The sequence below is a fragment of the Homo sapiens genome, chromosome 3 (assembly GCF_000001405.40).
Source record: "Homo sapiens chromosome 3, GRCh38.p14 Primary Assembly".
In the NCBI taxonomy this organism is placed as follows: Eukaryota; Metazoa; Chordata; class Mammalia; order Primates; family Hominidae; genus Homo; species Homo sapiens.
This window is the reverse complement of record NC_000003.12, coordinates 111,883,369-111,906,885: the sequence shown is the minus strand read 5'-3', so window position 1 is coordinate 111,906,885 and position 23,517 is coordinate 111,883,369. Positions and strand designations below refer to the sequence as shown.

Sequence of the window (23,517 nt, the reverse complement as noted above, 5' to 3'; positions counted from 1 at the left end):
ATGTGCATGTATGCGTGCACCATCAGTAGGGCTGAGCTGGAAAGAGGAAACAAAAGTGTAATGCCTTTGTATGACTGTGTCTGCTCTGGAGGCAACTGTAAGTTATTGGAGAATGTGACAGCCACTAACTGACCAACATTTGTTATGTGCAGATTACTATTGATATTTTGTATGCTAATGCCTATTCTCCCAAAGAATAATAGATAACTGTACTGAGAGTGAGACATACGTGAATAACTAGGACAGCATTTACCAGTCATTGATTTTTCAATACCCTTTCTCAAACATGCTCAATACACTTACATACACAAACACACTGCCTAAGGAGACCAAGGCCATTCTGCTTAAATTCCCTAGACTTCCCTCTTCTATCTTTGTCCATCTAGTCCTCCTTTCGTCAATGTACTATAGTGGCTAAATGCATGAACTCTGGAGCCAGACCACTTAGGTCTGAATCTGGGTTCTGCAGCTACCTGTGTGACCCTGGCCAAGCTATTTAGCTTCTTTGTGTCTCAGTTTCCTCAAGTATAAACCAGAATTACTAGAATATCTACCTTATTGGGTTATCATGAGGATTTATATATATGAATGTATACAGTTATGTGTTGCTTAACAATGGGGATATGTTCTAAGAAATGCAAGGTTAGGCTATTTCATTTTTGTGCAAACATCAGGGTGTACTTACTCAAACCTATATAGTATTAGCCTACTACACACCTAGCCTATATTGTAATAGTTTATTGCGCCTAGGCTACAAACTTGCAAAGCATGTTACTGCACTGAACGTTGTAGGCAATTGTAACACCATGGTAAGTACTTGTGTATCTAAACATACCTAAACATAGAAAGTACACTAAAAATATGGTATTACAATTGTATAGGACCACTATCATATTTGTGGTCCATCGTTGACCAAAATAAAATATCTGCACACATAACGACATTCCAGTCAACAAGGTGCTACATATACAAAGGTAGTCCCATAAAATTATAATGGGTGTCATCTTCCATTCTCTAACCTGAAAAACGTAAAGGAAAAAAAAAGATTATAATGGAGCTGAAAAATTCCTATTTTTTAATGACATAATAGCTGTTGTAACATAATATGTTGCAACATATTACTCATGTGTTTGCTGCGATGCTGATATAAACAAACCTACAGCAAAACATGTTGAGGAATCCCTAGCTTACCCATGGGGTGACCCTCCCAAAGGTAGCTCAGACTTTTAAGGTAGGGTGTGGTGGCTCACGCCTATAATCTCAGCACTTTGGGAGACCAAGGCGGTGGATCACTTGGGGACAGGAGTTCGAGACCAGCCTGGCCAACATGGTGAAACCCTGTCTCTACTAAAAATACAAAAATTAGCTGGGTGAGGTGGCACGCACCTGTAGTCCCAGCTACTTGGGAGGCTGAGGTGGGAGGATCACTTGAGCCTGGGAGGCAGAGACTACAGTGAGCCGAGATCACACCACTGCACTCCAGCCTGTGTGACAATGAGACACTGTCTCAAATAAATAAATAAATAAATGACTTAAAAAAACAAAAAACAGAAAGCCAATCTCTTGACACATTACATCAGACCCCAACTGAAAGGGTTACTGTCTACTTTAGAATTCTTACACTTTTAAATGATTCCCACCTATCCCCAGAACAAAATAGTAGTCAACAGCAGTTAGCTAAAACTCACTGAGTGCTTGCTGGGTGCCAGACACAATCCCCACCTGTATTTTAATTTTTAATTTTCATGACTTTGTGGGGGGTGGTTTTATTCTAATCCCCATTTAACAGATAAGGAAAGTGAGGCACAGAGAGACTTAGTAACCTAATTAGAGGGCCCGCTCTCATGCAACTAGTGGCCAGTGTGAATAGGAAAAATCATTGCCGTTCTCTTTCATAATACACTTTTGCAAGATGATGAAATCATCTAACAATGCATTTCTCAGCAACACATTCCCATCATTAAGCAATGCATGACTGTTCATCTATGACACTTAGAAGGGTGTCTGGGACAAAGTAAACAGCATAAGCATTAGCTCAGTTATCTGAGGAGAGTCTCTCAGTCTTTCCAAGAGGAAGCCCTCTGCCTGCACCACTGCACCTTGTTCCCACTGTCCTGTGGTTTTGCTCTATTGATTATCCCTTCTCCTACACCTTTCCCTCTCTATTGACTCCTTCTCCTCTGTCTGAAAATGTACTCAAGTCCCTCCCTCCCCTCAAAATAAACAAAAAGCCATCTTGATCAGATTATCCAGTAGATCTACTTTTCTACTTCCCTACTTCCCCTTTCACACCCACCACACCCAAACTCCCAATCTCCAAGAAGCTGCTAATGCTCAGTACTTCCATCTCCACTCATTCCCAGAGCTTTGCAATCTGGGGCAGCATGCTCCTGCCTTTATGCAGACTGGACATCCCGAATGAGAAGGGGCATTTCACACTTTCCCCAGGAAAATTAGGAGTAAAATGACCAGAAATAGGCGAAGTGCTTAAAAATAAAGATATCAGGACTACAGGAGGCTCAGTACCTCTCTGTCATCTTATATTTTAATGATTTGTGGAATAAATTGACTTCTTACCTCCACAGAACCCTTGGCCTTTTTTTTTTTTGAGACAGGGTCTCACTCTGTCACCCAGGCTATAGTGCAGTGTTGCAATCTTGGCTCATTGCAACCCCCACCTCTTGGGTCCAAGCAATTCTCCCACCTCAGCCTCCCGAGTAGCTGGGATTATAGGTGCCTGCCACCACACCTGACTAATTTTTGTATTTTTAGTAGAAATGGGGTTTTGCCATGTTGGCCAGGCTGGTCTCGAACTCCTCACCTCAAGTGATCTGCCCGCCTCGGCCTCCCAAAAGTGCTGGGATTACAGGTGTGGGCCACTGTGTCCAGCTGGACTTGAAGAGCAGAATCTGTATTTCAGCTTAAGTAGAAAGAACATAGAGTTGGATTTGAAGTTCTGGCACTTATCAGACCTATAACACAGTTATTATTTTTTTTAATCAAGTTCAACCTTTCAAGCCTCAATTACATGGTCTATAAAACAGAGATGAGTAGATTAGTGCCTCCCCTTGGGATCTTGGAAGAATTCAGTAAAGAAATGTGTGTGCGAACATGTGATAGACTATGTGCTTTCAAGTCTAAAGGTGGTGCCAGTCTTGTAGTAGGTGCTCACTCTTTGTCAGTCATGGTTAGGACGGTTTCTGTCAAAAGCGTGAAGTGAACTAGATAATTATCTTGTAGACTCTGAAGAACCATCTCTAATACTGATTAACAAGCACGCCTAAAAACTAGACCCAATTATTTTCAGGGAAAGGAAATACAGGAAAAATACGTTGTTATGCAGCCAAATGTCTCCCTGAAAAATCTGTGGGGTTTCTTTGGCTATCTAGAAGGACACAAAATTCCCTCAAGGCCACCAACTCCCTGCCCTGTGGTCCACCTGCCTCTGCCCCTGGCAACAGAGCTCTGCCCAGTTGCCATAGTAACCTGGGGAGAAAGGCATCTTGTCATTTGGTCCTCCCACGCTCACCACTACAGAGCAACACATTAAGTATAGTGGAGTTGCTTCTAGAAAGAACTACCCTCCAAAAAATCCATTGTCTTATTAAGGACACATACTTCACCCTTGACATAAAACCCAGGCTTCTCTTCACATTGCCCTGGCTCCACCCTAAACTTCAGAGAAACGGGTGTCCCCCCCTTACTGAAGGCATGCATCATTCAAATACCTGAGGAACTTTCTCATATCCTGCCTTACTCATACTTAGAAGAAGAAATTTAGTTCTTTTAATCTTATCTCATGAACCAATTCCTCACCTGTGTTTTTAAAAATTACTATCACAAAAAAAAATACAAATAAAAATTATGATTACTCAGAAGTCTCTCTAAACCTATTGTGGTTTGGTAGCTTTCCAATTAAAAAATAAATAAAATAAAAACTGAATAAATTGCCAGGACTGGTGGCTCACACCGATAATCCCAGCACTTTGGGAGGCCAAGGTAGGGGATCACTTGAGGCCAGGAGTTAGAGACTAGCCTGGGCAACATGGTGAAATGCCATCTCTACAGAAAATACAAAAATTAGCTGAGCATGGTGGCTCACGCCTGTAGTCCCAGCTACTCAGGAGGCCAAGGCAGGAGGACTACTTGAGCTGGGGAGGCGGAGGTTGCACTGAACTGTGACCACACCACTGCACTCCAGCCTGGGTGACAGAGGGAGACCCCCGCCTCAAAGAAAAAAAAAACTGAATAAATATTTACTGTTACTTGCCTGTGTCAACATTTCCCTCAAACCCACTTGCCTCTACTACTATTTCTGGCTATGTGCCTGTTTTATTTGTACTTTAAAAATAGATATAAATTAAGTACATATTTAATTACTAACATATGCTAAAGTAATGTTTATTTATTTTTATTTTCTTCCTTTTTGAGACAGCGTCTTGCACTGTCACCCAGGCTACAGTGCAATAATGTGATCATGGCTCACTGTAGCCTCAATCTCCTGGGCTCAAGTGATCCTCCCACCTTGGCCTCCCAAAGTGCTGGCATTTACAGGCATGAGCTACCATGCCCAGCCTATTTTGATTTTCATTTACATTAAACACATTCTTAAGTAATATAACTTGATTTAATTAATCCTATTAACTTTTTGGCCAATGACGTTTTCCTGACTTGTTTTTTCCACCTCAGCATTTTGTTAGGCAGATGCAAGTAAATCTCTGACCACAATTACCATTTATCTAGGATCCTCTATATTTTAGACCTTTTCCTGATGACTTTTTGCACTTTCTACTTAAAATCAACCAGCAGATGGGTGGGTTATGAAATGTTTTACTTTTAAAAAATATTAAGGTTGGAGGTGAACTATTCTTAAAAGACAAAAATATATCATTTTAAAGAAAATGCCCATTATGAATGACTCCAAAATATTCAAAGGAGAAAACAGTGTATTTCTCCCTATTGACTGAAAAAAACCGGCCATAAGTCAAAGAAATTCATGTGATCCGTATCATCATAATTTCCATACAGCATCTATGTAAAACATGCCAGATGTTTTTCTTACATAGACAGTGTTCCAGAAGGAAGTCTGCACAGTGCCTGAGCCCATTCTGTTAAAGAAATTATGCTATTGCTCTTCACCATTAAAGAAAACACAACAAAATCTAATCATACTGTCATCTCTTTACATTTTCACTTTAGCTTGATCAAGTTCCAGAAGATCTTGTTTGCTTCTTCTGAAAGACTATAGTCTATAAAACACAATCCATTAAAATACTTTAGTTCAATCAAAATAAGTATATGAGAGGTATAAAGACCTTTAAATCCTGATGTTTGAAAACATATCCTATCCTTTAAAAAATAAGATTTTTTTTAATGCATAAAGAAACCAGTGGGTAAAGAACTAGGAAAGTCTGCATGTAAAAAAACGACAGTAGACTATAACATAACAACTGAAAGTACTATAATACAATTATTTTTGAGTCATATCACATAAAAATATTATGTGTTAATTTTTTTTTTTTTTTTGAGACAGAGTCTCACTCTGTCACCCAGACTGGAGTGCAATGGTGCGATCTTGGCTCACTGCAACCTCCAGCATCCGGGTTCAAGTGATTTTCCTGCCTCAGCCTCCTGAGTAGCTGGGACCACAGGCATGTGCCACCACGTCTGGCTAATTTTTTTGTATTTTTAGTAGAGATGGGGTTTCACCGTGTTAGCCAGGATGGTCTCAATCTCCTGACCTCGTGATTCGCCCGCCTCGGCCTCCCAAATTGCTAGGATGACAGGCATGAGCCACCAAGCCTGGCCTGTGTTAAAATTTTAAAAGCATGTCACAAAGTTTTATGTAGAGAAATGCAAAAGAGGGCTGGGCACAGTGGCTCACGCCTGTGATCCCAGCACATCAGGAGGCTGAGGCAGGAGGATCGCTTGAAGCCAGCCTCATCAACATAGAGAGACCCCATTTCTATAAAAAAGAAAAAAAAAGCAAAACAAACAATGGCATGTCTTCTTTCTAAATCTGAGAATAGTGTTAAGAAAGTAACTACAGGCATATCTCATTTTACTGCATTTTGCTTTATTGCGCTCTGCAGATAGTACATTTTTTACAAAGTGATTTGTGGAAACCCTGCAGCGAGCAAGTCTATTAGCACATTTTTCCAATAGTATGTGCTCACTTCATGTCTCTGCGTCACATTCTGGTAATTCTTACAATATTTCAAACTTTTTCATTATCATCATATCTGTTATGATGATCTGATCAGTGATCTTTGACATTACTATTGTAATAGTTTTGGACACCACAAACCATGCCCATATAAGACAGCAAACTTAATTAATAAATGTTGTACTTGTTCTAACCGCTCCATCAACAGGCCATTTCCCTGTCTCTCTCCCTCTCTTCAGGCCTCCCATTCCCTAAGACACAATATTGAAATTAGGCCAATTAATAACCTTTTGATAGCCTCTAAGTGTTCAACTGAAAGAGTTACAGATCTCACACTTTAAAGCAAAAGCTAGAAACGATTAAGCTTTGAGAGAAAGGCATGCCAAAAATGAGATAGGCCAAAAGTGAGCTCTCTTGTACCAATTAGCCAAGTTGTAAATGCAAAAGAGAAGTTCTTGAAGGAAATTAAAGGTGATTCTTCACGCACAAATGATAAGAAAGTGAAACAGCCTTACTGCTGATGTAAAGAAAGTTTTAGTGGTCAAAATAGATCAAACACTTCCTTAGGCCACAGCCTAATCCAGAGCAAGGCCCTAACTCTCTTCAGTTCTATGAAGGCTAAATGAGGTGAAGAAGCTGCAGAAGAAAAATCTGTAACTAGCAGAGGCTGGGTCATGAGGTTTAAGGAAAGACATTGTCTCCATAACATAAAAGTGCAAAGTGAAACAGAATATGCTGAAGTAGAAGGTGCAGCAAGTCAATTGGAAAGATCTAAGATAATTGATGAAGGTGGTTACATGAAACAGCAGGTTTTCAGCTGGGCCAGTGGCTCACTCCTGTAATCCCAGCACTTTGGGAGGCCTAGGCGAGAGGATCACTTGAGGCCGGGAGCTCAACACCAGCCTGGGCCACAATTAATCAATCAACAAACAAACAACGTAGACAAAACAGCTTTATATTGGAAGAAGATGCCATCTAGGACTTACAAAGCTAGACAGAAGTCAATGCCTGGCTTCAAATCTTCAAAGGATAGGTTGACTCTGTTTTTAGGAGCTAAAGTCAGCTGCTAACTTTAAGTTGAAACCAATGCTCATTGACCATTCCAAAAATACCAAGGCCCTTAAGAATTATGCTAAATCTATTTTGCCTGTGCTCTGTAAGTGGCGCCAACAAAGCCTAGATGACACCACATCTGTTTCTACCATGGTTTACTGAGTATTTTAAGCCCACTGTTCAGATCTACTGCTCAGGGGAAAAAAAATTCCTTTAAAAATATTACTGCTTGGGGGAAGTGGGGGAGAGCATCAGGAAAAATAGCTAAATGCATGCCAGGCTTAATACCTAGGTGATGGGTTGATAGGTGCAGCAAACCATCATGGCATATGTTTACCTATGTAATAATTCTGCACATTATACACATGTATCCCAGAACTTAAAATAAATTTAAAAATATATGAATAAAATTACTGCTCCCTGACAACACACCTAGTCACTCAAGAGCTCTGATAAAGATTCACAAGGAAAATAAAGGTTGTTTTCATGCCTGATAACACAATATCCATTTTACATCCCATGGGGTAATTTTGGCTTTCAAGTCTTTTTATTTTAAACATATACTCTGTAAGGCTATAGTTGCCATAGGTAGTGATTCTGCTGATAGAGCTGAGCAAAGCCAATCAAAAAACCACCTGGAAAGAATTCACCAGTTTCGATGCCATTAAATACATTTTGGTTCAGAAGAGGAGGTATTGACATTTTTATCAACATGAACGAGAGTTTGGAAGAAGTTGATTCCAGTCCTTATGGATGACTTTGAGGGGTTTAAGACTTCAGTGGAAGAAGTAACTGCAGATGTGATAGAAACAGCAAAAGAACTATAACTAAATGTGGAACCTGAAGATGTGAATGAATTGCTGAAATCTCATGATAAAACTTGAACTGATGAGGAATTGCTTCATATGGATGAGTGAAGAAAATGGTTTCTCGAGATGGAAACTACTCCTGGTAAAGGTGCTGTTAACGTTTTTGAAATGACAACAAAGGATTTAGAATATTACATGAGCTTAATTGATAAAGCAGTGGCAGGGACTGAGAGGACTGATTCCAATTCTGAAAAAAGTTCTACTGTGGGTAAAGCGCAACCAAACAGCGTTGCATGCTGCAGAGGAATCTTTTGTGAAAGGAAGAGTTGAATCAATGTGACAAACTTCATTGTTATCTTATTTTAAAAAATTGCTGGCTGGGTGCGGTGGCTCACACCTGTAATCCCAGCACTTTGGAAGGCTGAGGTGGGCGGGTCACTTGAGATCAGGAGTTCGAGACGAGCCTGGCCAACATGGTGAAACCGTGTCTCTACCAAAAATGTAAAAAAATAGCTGGGTGTGGTGGCTGGTGCCTGTAATCCCAGCTGCTTGGGAGGCTGAAGCAAGAGAATCACTTGATGTCAGGAGGCAGAGGTGCAGCAGTGAGCCAAGATCACACCACTGCACTCCAGCCTGGGAGACAGAGCAAGACACACACACACACACACACACACAAACACACACACACACACACAAAGAAATTGCCACAGCCACTCCAACCTTCAAGAACCACCAGCTTGTTCAGTCAGCAGCCATCAACATCAAGACAAAACCCTCCACTAGCAAAAAGATTACAACTCACTGAAGGCTCATATAATTGTTAGTATTTTTTTAAGCAATAAAGTATTTTTAAATTAAGGTATGTACATTTTTATACATAATGCTGTTGCATACTTAATATATTACAGTATAGTGTAAACATAACTTTAATATGCACTGGGAAACCAAAAAATTTGCGTCACTTGCTTTATTATGATGTTCGCCTTCTTGCGGTGGTCTGGAACCAAACCCACAATATCTCAGAGGTATGCCTGAATATTTTCCTTTCTCCCAAGACAACTTGTAAATTGAAATCTCTGCCTAAGATGATTTAAGCCTTGGTCTTCGTGATCTGATGGAAAAGATGACCTTTCATAGCTTCAGCTTGTTATTCTATAATCAGAATGAAAGAATAATCACCATATGAGAAATTTGTTCCTCTTAATTCTACTCAGCATTTTCCTAAAATTCTGTCTTTTCTCAAAATCCAAATTACAACCCCAGAGCTGGGATATGGTCTTAGCAATTTTGAATAAGAAATACCAATTTATCCAAACCAAAAATTTTCAACCTGCAGTCATTAGACTTCACCAGAGCAAAGCTTTTGGCTATTTGCAACTTTAGGAAACTAATCTCACTGACTTCAGCTTCAGGGAAGATGAATTAGACATACTTTACCCTATTTCTCCCACTAAGTATAACTCAGAACCCTGTACATTATATGGGGAAAAAAACAGAAGACTCTGAAAGGTGGAAAAAGGCAGACTGGGGACCCAACGAAACACACAGAAGTGTGTCTCTGGGATTTCCCTTTGCCTCATGTATCCTAGTCTTAAACCTGATGAACCAGTGACTGCAACAACCTGCCCAATTTCCACAGAACTCTGCTGAGTGAACAAAGCCAAACCCACAGGTTACATGCTATATGGTTATATTGTGAAATGATAAAATTATAGAAATGGAGAAGAAATCAGTGGTTATGGGGGTTAAGGAGAAGGGAAGCTGGTATGGCTATAAAAGGCCAACATGAGAGACCGTTGTGGTGTTAGAACTGTTCTGTATCTTCACTGTATCAATGTCAATATCCTAGCTCTGACATTGTCCTATAGTTTGGCAAGATGTTACCATTGGAGGAAACTGGGTAAAGGATACACAGGATCCCTTTGAATTACGTCCTATGATTGCTTGTGAATCTCCGATTATTCAACATAAAGAGATTATTTTGTTTAAGTGACTTCTAATAAGCACCTTCATAACTAGCACATTGAGATGGCTGAAACAAAAGAAAAAGTGCTGGATGTGTTACCCTTGTAATGCTTGTTTTGGATTTTTTTTTTTTTTTGAAAAATCAATTTCCAACTTTAAGAATATTCTCTACAGCAAATATTCCCATAATCTTTTCTCAAGCTGGGGAAGAGAAATTCACATTATAAGAATTAGCCAGCGCAGCCTGGACGCGGTGGCTCACACCTATAATCCTAGCACTTTGGGTGGCCAAGGCAGGCAGATCGCCTGAGGTCAGGAGTTCCAGACCAGCCTGGCCAACATACGTGGCGAAACCCCGTCTCTACTAAAAATACAAAAATTAGCCAGGTATGGTGGCAGCTGCCTGTAATCCCAGCTACTTGGGAGGCTGAGGCAGGAGAATTGCTTGAACCCTTAGGAGGCGGAGGTTGCAGTGAGCTGAGATCACGCCACTGCACTCTAGCCTGGGCAACAGAGGGAGACTCCGTCTCGGGGCGGGGGAAGAAAAAAGAATTAGCCAGCACAATCACTAAACCTATTAGCTGATGATAAATTTTTAAAATGGTAGCTCAATAAATAGCTTTTAAATTTAGATATACTAAGCCAGGCATGGTGGCTCACGCCTGTAATCCCAATAGTTTCAGAGGCTAAGGGGAGCAAATCACTTGAGGCCAGGAGTTCGAGAACAACCTGGCCAACATGGCAAAACCCTGTGTCTACTAAAAATACAAAAATTAGTTGGGCATTGTGGCATGCACCTGTAATCCCAGCTACTCAGCAGGCTGAGCCGAGATCATGCCACTGTACTCCAGCCTGGACAACATAGCAAGACTCTCCTCAAAAAAAGAATAATAAATAAATATAGATATACTAAGTAATTTGACAACAAATATGGGGACCACTTTTACCAGAAACAATCAATAGTCCTCCTTCACTTAATGTATCTCCATATAAATAGATAGATAGATAGATAGATAGATGGATAGATAGATAGATTTTTTTTTTTTGACTGAGTTTCACTCTTTTGCCCACGCCAGACTGCAATGGCTCGATCTCGGCTCACTGCAACCTTCACCTCATGGGTTCAAGTGATTTTCCTGCTTCAGCCTCCGAAGTAGCTGGGATTACAGGCATGTGCCACCACGCCTGGCTAATTTTGTATTTTTTTAGTAGAGACGAGGTTTCACCATGTTGGTCAGGGTGGTCTCGAACTCCTGACCGCAGGTGATCTACCTGCCTTGGCCTCCCAGAGTGCTGGGATTACAGGCGTGAGCCAACACGCCTGGCCTCCACTCCTATATATTTGTTGGTCTTGATATATTTTCAGTTTTTATTTAGTTTATATTTCTTTCTACAAATTTTATTTATGATCTTTATTTCTTATTTAAGAAACAAGTGTTCATATATTTATTTATGATTTTAAAAAAGAATGAGACTTCTTCTATAACTGACACAGGGGCATACAGGGCCTCTTTTTAGTCCAAGTTGCTTTCTATATTTCAGCGTTTAGCCTGAGAAAGCTGAACCATGTGAAGAGTCAGAACATACATCTCTCAAATTCTTTAATGCATGGCACCATCAAGAGGCAATAGCTTGTACTGCTACTATAAGAACAGAGGGTTTGCTCTCAAGAATGGACTACTGCAATATAGAATTTCATGAAGACTTTAGCTCTGTTTCCCCAATGTGAAGTCATTAGATTATTGCCAAATGCTAATTTTTCCTTCTCACTGCTTTTCTGCCCATCTCTCCAAGTGAAGAAGAAAGAAAAAAGGTATGACAACCGTTTTTTTTTTTTCACTCTCAGTTAATGGAGGACAATTGGCAGCCCAACTTTGCTAATGATTAATTCCTTTAATATTTAATCAACATATACACACATACAGACCCACACATACATACATACACACACACACACACACGCAAACCAGCAATTTGTAGAGAGAAAGTCCTTGCTTTATTCTCTAATGACCCAAGGTGATCTGATGACAGATAACATTTTTCTTTATATTACCCAGTGACAAAAAATGTACTTACTTTAAGGGCTAATATCCAGAATCTACAATGAACTCAAACAAATTTACAAGAAAAAAACAACCCTATCAAAAAGTGGGCAAAGGATATGAACAGACACTTCTCAAAAGAAGACATTCATGCAGCCAACAAACATACGAAAAAAAAGCTCATCATCACTGGTCAGTAGAGAAATGCAAATCAAAACAACAATGAGAAACCATCTCACACCAGTTAGAAAGGCAATCATTAAAAAGTCAGGAAACAACAGATGTTGGAGAGGATGTGGAGAAATAGGAACACTTTTACACTGTTGGTGGGAGTGTAAACTAGTTCAACCATTGTGGAAGTCAGTGTGGTGATTCCTCAGGGATCTAGAACTAGAAATACCATTTGACCCAGCCATCCCATTACTGGGTATATACCCAAAGGACTATAAATCATGCTGCTATAAAGACACATGCACATGTATGTTTATTGCGGCATTACTCACAATAGCAAAGACTTGGAACCAACCCAAATGTCCAACAATGATAGACTGGATTAAGAAAATGTGGCACATATACACCATGGAATACTATGCAGCCACAAAAAATGATGAATTCATGTCCTTTGTAGGGACATGGATGAAATTGGAAATCATCATTCTCAGTAAACTATCGCAAGAACAAAAAACCAAACACCGCATATTCTCACTCATAGGTGGGAATTGAACAATGAGATCACATGGACACAGGAAGGGGAATATCACACTCTGGGGACTGTTGTGGGGTGGGGGGAGGGGGGAGGGATAGCATTGGGAGATATACCTAATGCTAGATGACGAGTTAGTGGGTGCAGCACACCAGCATGGCACATGTATACGTATGTAACTAACCTGCACAATGTGCACATGTACCCTAAAACTTAAAGTATAATAAAAAATAAATAAATAAATAAAAATAAATCCAAAAAAAAAAAAAAGAAATAGTGCTGTTTACTTAGAGAATAGATTGCTAATTTAGGGAGTGGGTAGCATCGTCAATCTACTCCTGTGCTGTCAAATATATTATACCTAATTTCACCTGGATTTTTTTTTTTTTGCTTACCTTAACATAAAAAAATTTAAAATGACATTCATGGCTCACATCATATTTCTGAGCTAAATCTGATAAACCCTCCAAACAAGGTAGGAAAGTTAAAAAAAAAAAAGGTAGAGAATTGACTGGCTATTTTAAACATTAGGGAAATTAAGAAAAGGCTCCACAGCAAAAATTCAGCTTAAGGCTTAGGCTGAATCTGAAGATTAAATCAACTTATGTACCTGACAATGGCCATTCTAGCTCAGAGTATAGGAAGAGAGCCATTGTTTCTCAAGATCCTTTCAAAAGTCTTGAGCCACTAAGTTTATTGGGTTGGTAAACAAACCTCTCACACCATCTGCAATTTAGCTGGCTTCTTCCAGCTAGTGCAGCCATTTTTTTAATAAATTAAAATTATACTCAGGATGTAGCAAATGGAAGGGCCACATCAGGAAGGAGATTCAAGTAAGACTGGAGGACAAAATAGTTTTCAATACTTAAGTTTGCCTTCACATTTCAAAGACATTCTTCTAAAAAAAAAAAAAAGATTAATACTATGACTAAGCAACAATAAGCATGCTCTTAACATTGTCCATTCTGCTATTCAAACAAAAAATATTGTCAAACTTATAATATGGCTCAACATAGCCAAAAAGGTCTGAATGCCCAACTTATTTTGGGGGGGTGGTCAGGACTCACTAGGAAATAGAGACAGCAAGAAGCAAATAGAGAAGCAAAAATCTACATGTGGAGTCACTTTGACCTGACAACGCTCACTAGTCTTGGGTTCCTAAACAATTTTTCCTAATTACAACATTAAATAATACCAACCTGTTTATTTTCTGGTCTTTAAAATAGCATCTGCATCTGACCACGTTTCAGAGATTAGAGAACATATAAGTTTATTTTATAAAATACCAAAAATCCTTAAACAAATATGCTCAATTAGTCTTTTACTTAATTTTAGAAACATTAGATCTATCATCTGCTCAATGGTACACAAGCAAGACTCTCAGACCTGTAGCTTTGGTTTTTGTACGACCTTGGAGAGCACCAATTCTTACAAAGAATGCTAGAAAATCTTCAAAGTAAAGAAAAATAACTCTTTCATCTTTTTATTTTTAATTGAAAGTTGGAAAAGAATTTCCCCTTTCTGGAAGTAAAAAAGAATGCATTTATACTGAGATATCTTCATTTTTTGTATAGAGCTTCTCTATTACCTAGAACTAAATGCTTATCATCTGGGAACCAGGGATGCAAACTACAGTCACAGATTAAGGAAACCCAGAATAAATGTCAAGAATGGGTATCAAAAACATTCAATTACTCTTTTTAAAAACATGTAAAGAATGCTTCCTATACTCTAGTCATCTGGCTAGGAGGTGCATCTATAGTGGTGAGCAAGATAGGTATGGTCCCAGCCTCTTACTGATTAAAATTATATAGTTATAAAGTGCTTTCATGGGAACTATAAGGACAAAACACCTTCAATGGTAGGAATTGCTGACCCAGACATTTCACCTATTCGCATAACTACCACAGAAACATTAATATGTGCCTTAAAAGAAAGCCAACCTTATTTTCAAGGAATCCATATGTAATGGAAAAAATTCGTATGTGTGTAAAAAATCAGAAAAACTTACTCCATGATGCTTCATGAGAGCTGGTATCACATTACAACATGTTTGAGAAATAAGTATCAATGTGGCCCTGCATAGTTCTAAATGGCAACAATGCTATTTACCAAGGCACTACAGACGACTATCACCAGTCAGAAAGAAAATATTGGATGGCTACAATGCAATTTGTGGGAATCCACTGGTTCTCCACAAAAGAACAAGATGCTTTTGGCAACGTAACCAAATGAATACTCTTAAAAGCATCAGGGTTTGCTTTCATTTTTTAATTTTCCCCTTTTCTTCTGAAAATGACTTTCACTGCCTTGGACCATAAAAAGCTCTAGACGGCCATCACTACCTCTGGACTACTTGGAGGAAGGCAGGTGTCAAATAGGATGAATACAAGAATACCCTACTTTATAATGACTTTTCTAACCTCTAGAACAGCAGTCCGCAAAATTTTTGGCAACAGGATTGGTCTCATGGAAGACAATTTTTCCATGGACATGGGGGAGGGATGGTTTCGGGGTGATTCAAGCACATTACATTTATTGGGCACTTTATTTCTATTATTACTACACTGTAATGTGTAATGAAATAATTATATAACTCATCATAATGTAGAATCAGTGGGAGCCCTGAGCTTGTTTTCCTGCAACTAGATGGCCCCATCTGGGAGTGATGGGAGACAGTGACAGATCATCAGGGCATTAGACTCTCATAAGGAGCGCGCAACCCAGATTCCTCACATGAGCAGTTCACAATAGTGTTCATGCTCTTTTGAAAATCCAATGCCACCACTGATCTGACAGGAGTTGGAGCTCAGGCAGTAACGTGAGTGATGGGGAGTGGCTGGAAATACAAATGAACCTTTGCTGGCTCACCGCTCACCTCCTGCTCTGCGGCCCCATTCCTAACAGGCCACAAACGCTACTGGTCTGTGGCCCATGGCCCAGGGGTTGGTGACCCATGCTCTAGAACATCTAATTTGTCAAAGAATCAGCATCCCAGCCCTCTAGCAACACCTTATCCATTAATGTCCTCTACTTGAAACATAGCTCAGAGTGAGGAAGTTAAAATGACCACCAACCAGTCCAAATGGATGTCACAAGGTCTATGAACTAAAGAGCACACACTTCATGTGCTCAGGACCTCCTTGAGAACCTCACTTGTACTTAGTCACTCTTAGTTCAGAACATTTCAAATCAAGGCTTGATAACTGGTTTCTAAGATCATAAAAAACGAAAAGGCTGGCAAAAATGACCAAAGCATGAATTGGCAGCTGAGAGCAAAACCAAAAAAGTAAAATTATTTTTTTAAAAAAGGAACAAACTAAACATCTCAAATAGCACAGCAGCTGGAGGTTATTTAATACGGACTCAAAGTGGATTATTTACCTCATTAATAGGCCCTTGGAGATACATAATTACAGTTCGATCTTTAATACTCAATAAAACTACCTTGAGTTTTCAAATAAAGATTGAACACATTAAAAAAAATCCAGGTGAAACACTAGTAGAATCACAGCAGACCTAAAAATATTACAGATATTATGCTTAGTGAACCAGCTTTACCCCACCTGGTTTCCTCATTAATGAGTTAAAGAAATCTTTGGCATCTATTCATTCTTCATTTATATAAGAGTTGCGTTTACTTTTTGAAAATTATGCTTTGACAATTTGGAGGTCCTAATAAAATGTGCAAGTGACTCACTCTATCCAGTCAATTAAATTGCACTGCCCATGAAGTATATCTCATGGGCTGGATGCCCAGACACATCTTTTCTTGGCTTCTGAGGTAAATCACAAATGGCAGTAGAACATCACCTTCACTGACTCGCTAATCTCTTTAGCTTTTGTTTTACTGAGTCTGTCTTAGTTTTTGTTTCTAATCCTTGGCCAAGTTTCACTGGGGTTTTGGTTTGCATACAACTGACAGTTATCTCCATTGGTGGCAGCCATGACTAGGAATCTGGTTTCACGATCTGACCACGTGGTGAGTTGACAGGTAGAATCGGAATCCAGTCTTGGTCAGGTGAGAGGTGACAGAGTATTTGTTTGTTGTTGTTGTTGTTTATAATTTGTTTTTCTATTTGTGTACTCAGATCAGGAATATATTTTGTGCCTGATGGAAAAGCAATCAGTCTTTTGAGATCTGGAAAAGTGAGATTTTGTGTTCTAGTGTTCACTTTTGATCTGTAATTGGAGCTGTAGGACTTAAGCCATAAACCTTTCATCTGTCTTTCTACCTGGGGGCAGGGTGGGGAACACTGTTTGTAGGTGAAGTATTTTTCTAACTCCCGAGGATAATAATAAATTAAACAGAGAAGGCCTACTGTTCTGATTGGTTTATAGAGATTATCAAGTAGTTAGATAAATTTAACATTCCCAGAATTTCAAGAATTTATTTTCTTGAAATAAATTTTGTGAAATTCCAATGCTTTAAATGTGCTTATTTTAATGATGGGGTCTCACTCTGCCACCTGGGCTGGAGTTCAGTGGCATGATCATGGCTCATTGCAGCCTCAATCTCCTGAGCTCAATCAATACTGCCACCTCAGCCTCCCAAGTAGCTGGGACTACAGGTGTGCACCACCACACCCAGCTAATTTTTGTATTTTTTGTAGAGACAGGGTTTTGCCATGTTGCCCGGGCTGGTCTCAAATTCCTGGACTCAAGTGATCCTCCCACCTTGGCCTCCCAAAGTGCTGGGATTACAAGTGTAAGCCACCTCACCCAGCCTAACTGTGCTCTCTTAAAAAAAAAAAGACCTGATTTGATAATTTGGTTTTAAAAACAGCTATAGGGACACATGTTGTCAGGATCTCCTGGGGCTGTGTCATGGGTAAATACAACTTTTAAGAAAAAAATACATTTTAAAAACAACAACAAAACAGCTACACATCTTTTCCTTGTTTCATCAGTGTACAGTATAATACAAGTATAATCTCATTTTTTAAAAAAACTTGAATGTTTTATGATGAAGAGATTAGTTTACCTGAACTTTTAAACTGTCTTATATTAGTTTGCTAAAAACATAAGCTAAGATTACTTCTATAAAATTAAGAAAAATATAAACTTTGTGCTCATCTAAACTGAACTATAACTGTGACAAACCTTTTCACATTATCAGTAATTATGTTCTGTGATGTGTTAGCTTGAACATAATTTCTGATACCTTTAAGTATTTTTGTCTTAGTGTCTGGTTGTTCCAGAATGTGGAAGAGAACAATGAAGGGCAGAAGTTGATGGAAACAGAAAATTGCAGATTTGCAAAAAGGGAGTTAGATTTAACTTGGTTTATAATGCTTGCAAATAAAAAGGCTATAAAGAAGTAATAAAATTTTAAAAATTTGGCAAAGTTTGCATGATTTTGATGCAATTATTCATAAAGTATGTTTAATGTAATGCATTAAAAATGTAATATATGACAAGCACCCTGTTAATGTAAAACTAAAATGCAGTTATCTCTATTGAAATGACAGACTGATCTTGGAGAAATCAGCCTATGCTTGTAAAAGGCAGTACTAATCTGCCCACAGAACAGAGATTAGTACCTTACAAGTGTAACTTCCTGAGCTTTGCGATGATTGGAATATATTCTTGCAAAGAGTTTTCTTCATTTTTGAATGATTTGAGCTTTCTTGCTCATCATAAAATAATCTATTGCCATTTTCTTAAATAGCCAAACCACAAACATTCACTACTCTCAGGTATACACAATTCTTTATTACTCAAGTGACAAAATCTCTGATTTTGCCTTCAAGATCAGGCAGACCCTAAATACAGAAAAAAAATATAATTTCCAAGATATCTATTCCTGAACTACTTTTAGGTTTTCCCAGAGAACCTCTGGGCAATCACAAAGATTTGTCTTTAATTTTACAAAAAGAAAGAGGCTAGAAATAATTAGGTTTGTTCACTGTGCCCCTAAAAATTTCTCAAATCAAATGAGAAAGTTGCCCTTCCTTAAGATAATTTTGTACGGGTAAAATAATATTTTTAATATTATAGGTAATGTTCAAAGATTGGGTACTTTACACAAAGACCCTGAATATATGTCAGTGCCCTCACTCTCTGTAATATGTTCTTAAAAAACTGATTTAAAGGATTTTAACTCTCCTTCATGCTGATATTGTTTGTTAAATTAACCATAAATAACCATAGCCACTTAACTCTTACATTCACCAAGTGTTCTCTACTTTCTCTGTGAGCTTGTCTACAAAATACAATATCTCATTAATGAAGAAAAGACAGTTTTAGAACCTTGTGGACAGAACTTTACCAGGTATTCTTAACCCTAAATATTTCAAAGAATTGCATAGACAAAAATGAGATAGTACTAGGCAGCCACATCAGATTTTCAGGACTTTTTAGTCTAGAAATAGATGACTTCATGAAACCAAATTAAGAGCCTAAGATACAGAGGAATAAGAATTAATTACATAGAAGTGATTGAATTGATAATAAAAAATGAATTTCTAAATGTGGATATATGTTTTGGAATATTACTAGTATTATTTTTAATGTTTTATTTTTTCAGGGGGAAAACCCTTTGGCATTCATACTGCTCTATCTCTAATCCTCTATTCAGCTAACTCTGATTTTGCAAACTAAATGAAATATTATTTTAATGGTAAATTGTTCTCACTGATCTCTCAGAATTCAGGAAGTAATTTGAGTCACTTTACTTTTTAATGGCAATATCATCTTTTGCATAGGCTTGATAAGAATCCGTCATCCCTTTTACCACAATGTAGTCAAACAAATAGACCATGCAACCAAGATCAAGTCTAGAGTGTCAAATTTAAAAATAAGCCTCATTTCAACAAATACGATACGCCCACTATTAAAGAAAAAATATATAACTTCATATTTAGAGCAATATCCACAAAGCTCTCCCAAGAAGTCAAAACTGTTTATGACTTAACAGGCCCAACCTTACAGGCAGTACAGAAGGTCACTTCCTGGATTGCCAAGAACCATACCAGATTTGGAAAATCTGGAGGAAAGAGAAATTCACCAACACTTAGAGATGCTGAACATGAAACCTAGCAGAGATGAATTTCTTGAATTTGGTTCCCTATCCTTGGAACAGAAGAGCAAATAGAAGCATTTAAGGAAGATGTCCGGAGTAATGGAAGCCATTAAAAATGCTCTCCCAGATTTCTTGATAAGTTATCGGATAGAAGTTAATATTCTGGCTTTATAAATAATAGTTGCTCTGCATGGTATAGCATTCTATTTGCTGTCCATATACAAGACTTTTGTATGCTAATTAAAACATCTTCTGAATTTCTGTCAATGAAGCAAGCCCAAACACAATGCCATTTTGTGACCATGAACAGTCTGCAGAGATTATTTATGGTAATAAAGAGGAAAGTCATACTGAGTACTGTATAACTGACCCACTCAAAGACTGTCTAAATTCTCTAAGGGTATGCACATTTGTTTTCATTCACTATTGTCAGTTAGGGTATTTGAAAACTCTGTAAGAACAGACATCAACTTATCAAAAACTATGAGTGATGCAAATGATTACTGCTCTAAAATGTCAAACGTATTTCCTTCTGGATGGATGCAAATGGTTTCTGTCCATTATAATCCAAAGGTTACAACAGGGGTGTCCAATCTTGGGCCACACTGGAGAAGAATTGTCTTGGGCCACACATAAAATACACTAACGATAGCTGATGAGCTTAAAAAAAAAAAAGGCAAAAAAAATCTCATAATGTTTTAAGAAACTTTGAGTTTGTATTGGGTGGCATTCAAAGCCATTGTGGGCCTTGTGCGGCCCACAGGCCACAGGTTGGACAAGCCTGGGTTACAATTTTATTGTCCTATAGGGTATCAACCAGTTTTGTGATTCAAAAATCATATTCTAGAATATTTTAGCGACTAAAACACTGATAATCCTACTGTGTTGCTGTAAATCAGCTTTACTATCCTGCAGCTTCTCTTGTTAAGGAAATCATGAATCAAAAATGAATCAAAGTAATCTCTCACAGATATTCATTCTAAGAGAAAAACCTGTGCTTAAAAGAGAAAGGAAAAATGCAGTTGTTTGTTCTCATTCATTGGTGAGACTCTCAAGGGATGTTTCCCCGTCTTATTTTCAATATTTCAACAATAAGTATAAATTCATTTTAAATGGAAAAAGACAACTCAATAGATCTTGTGAGTATGTGTAGTTTGGAATCACTGTACGTGATAAGAATCAGAGCTAAAGATAGTAAGGTTGTGTATGAACAGTGTGGAGAAAAGCTGAGCACCACTGAGGCAACTCCAACTTTCTAGACAACTTGCTATAAAGACAAATTTACTACCTAATTCTTGGTGAGTCATGATTTCACTGACTACTTCTCATAACCATACACAAGCAAATTTAATGATATAAATAATACAAGTCAGCATTTCCTCATAGTCTTAAAGAGAAGTTTGTAAGACTCAGAAATTTCATAAAATTCCCAACTCCTCTGTTATGTTTTTAAAGAATTTATACTTGTGAGAAGTCCGCAGAGCAACTAAATTAACATTAATTCCTGGAGGCCTTCAAGATAGCCAAACAAGCCTATTAATAGTGATATGGGAAGAAGAAGGATAGCAGGAGAGAAGAGAAAGATAGCAGCTGTGGCTAGTGAACATGAATATCCTATATTCCCACATATCCTGGAGTCCATCTCCAAGGCTGCCCTGTAGATGCTGGTTAATGAAACAGTGAGGTCAATCACTGTTGAGATGAAGATTACCAATCGCTCCATTTCCTGCTCCCTGAGTCTTTCCTCCCTCTGCCGCCGGTGATAATCCATCAGGTCATCACGTCCTGAAATGGAGCTAATACTGCTTTTCCGTTCCCGAAGGGCAGGCTGGGGGGTTCCTGAGGCCTGTCTGAGGCTTTCCAAATCTGCCTCATCAAATTCCACAGATCCACAAGAGAAGTTCCTCCTGGTCGCAAAAACTCTGTCTGACTCTCCAGCAAGAAGTGAATGACTCGGGTTTGTCCCCACATATGAAGCCTGATCAAAGTCATCAGAGGCACAGGAGGAGGTGGAGGCCAGAAGCATCTTCCGAGCCACTCGTGGACTGGCAGGGACACTGAGGGTAGAACTTACATAAGGATTGCCTTCAGAAGCAGAGGTTTTATAGGGTAAAGCCCCTGAGCTCAAAGAAGAAAAATTAAGGTAATTGTCATTGTCTATTACGCTATGAGGTAGATCCTTTTCCCCAAGTTTTGTTCGTTTGGAATTGCCCAGAGAGTTTCTTGGAGGCAAGCTGAGAGGTGTCAGCTGGTTCTCTGTGGCTCTGTACAACCTGGGAAGTGATCGGCTGTAGGCTCCCATGTGACTCAGGCTGCTGCTGGAGTACTTCCTAGTTCTCAAATTGATGTTTTCAGATGCAAGCTCCTTGTGTCTAGTTAACTTGGGTTGAAGCGCCAGGCTGTCCTGAATGCTCATTTTCCTGGCTTGCTTTGGGCTTGAAGGCATGCTTGCGGCTCCCGATCTGCTGATAGGAGGCGGGCCAGCATCACTCAGGGAACTTCCATTCCACATGGCCAGGAGCGAGCCAGATGCCTTCCGACCTTCCAGCCCTCCAAGAGAGTAGACATTGTCATGCGATTTATGCCTTGAGCTATATTTGGAATAGGGAGGCTTCTCTGAGAGCCTCAAGGCCCTTTCACTGTCCCGGCCAGTATAATGATCAAAGTCTGCTCTTCCAAGTGGATATCCACTGAGGGAGGATGTAGTGTTGAGTAAAGGAGTTGGAGGTTTCATAGGAATATTTTTGTCAGTTCCATCATAAGAGAACTGCTTGCTTCCCTGGATTTTGGCTAAGGAGGGGCTGCTTCTGACACTGGTTCCCAAAGGAGAAGGGCTTCTCTTTGCAGGCACAGGTTGTGAGAGGGTTAAATAGGAGCCAGAATAGTCTCCATTGGCTTTAAATCTCAGACTGGAAGAGTATTTCTTTGGGCTGAGGCTCTCCATCATGTTTTGGGAATCGTTCTCAACAGAATGCACCACAGAGTCTTCCTCTAAGCTACCATTTTGTAAATCTAGCTCCTTTTGTATGTAGCTATGCTCTTCCATAATCTTGCTGGAATCTGTAAAGAAATAAAACAGAAAATTTTGCCTTAAAGAAGATTTTAAAAGAACAATCCCTTGTTAGGCCTACATCTGAACAAACAATCTTGCAGTCTGACCTAATGCAACTAACAAACACAAACTCAGTTTTACTAAAAAACCTGTTAAAACCATACAGCAAATTAAAGGAGAATAAAGATCATTGACCTGAGATAACTTATGTACAAAAGAGAAATAAAAGGACAGCAATGACATTTGAGCGAAACAAATCCCTAACCAAGTAAAGGTGCAGGATTAGGCTGGTACATTAAAAAAGACAATTTGTCCTTAATGTTCTGGCCCTTCGAGGAACACCTGCTTCCCTAGTGACTAGCTAATGCCCAAAGGCATAATGCAATGGACTTTCCTATAGCTGTCTCTGCTAGAATCATTAACTGTTCAGAAATAAAGTCCTGAGGAAACAAAATTCACATTTGGGCAGAGAAAAAAAAGTTTACGTTAGACACTGATCAATAACATGAGGGTTAGAAGATGGTTCTTTAAACAAGGACTCTGGGAGTTACCTTCTCAACAAAAAGACTTAAAGCTCCTTTAGTCATCAGAGGTAGGTAATAACAAAGAAAAGGGTATTCCACCAATTATTGACACATGGTCGGGATGGTATATTTAAAAACCTGAAACTGTTATATCCTTTAAATTTTCTAGTACCCCAAAT

At 38.8% G+C, this 23,517-nt stretch overlaps 1 protein-coding gene across 4 annotated transcripts in view; it reads right to left on the bottom strand.

Moving 5' to 3' along the window:
- Positions 1-23,517, bottom strand: part of PHLDB2 (pleckstrin homology like domain family B member 2) — a 244,022-nt gene that overhangs the window by 69,632 nt on the left and 150,873 nt on the right. For all 4 annotated transcript variants that reach the window (NM_001134437.2, NM_145753.2, NM_001134438.2 and 1 more), the window contains one exon: positions 21,474-22,822. In NM_001134437.2, the coding sequence (NP_001127909.1) occupies positions 21,474-22,822 (1,349 nt within the window). The remainder of the gene's footprint in view (positions 1-21,473; positions 22,823-23,517) is intronic.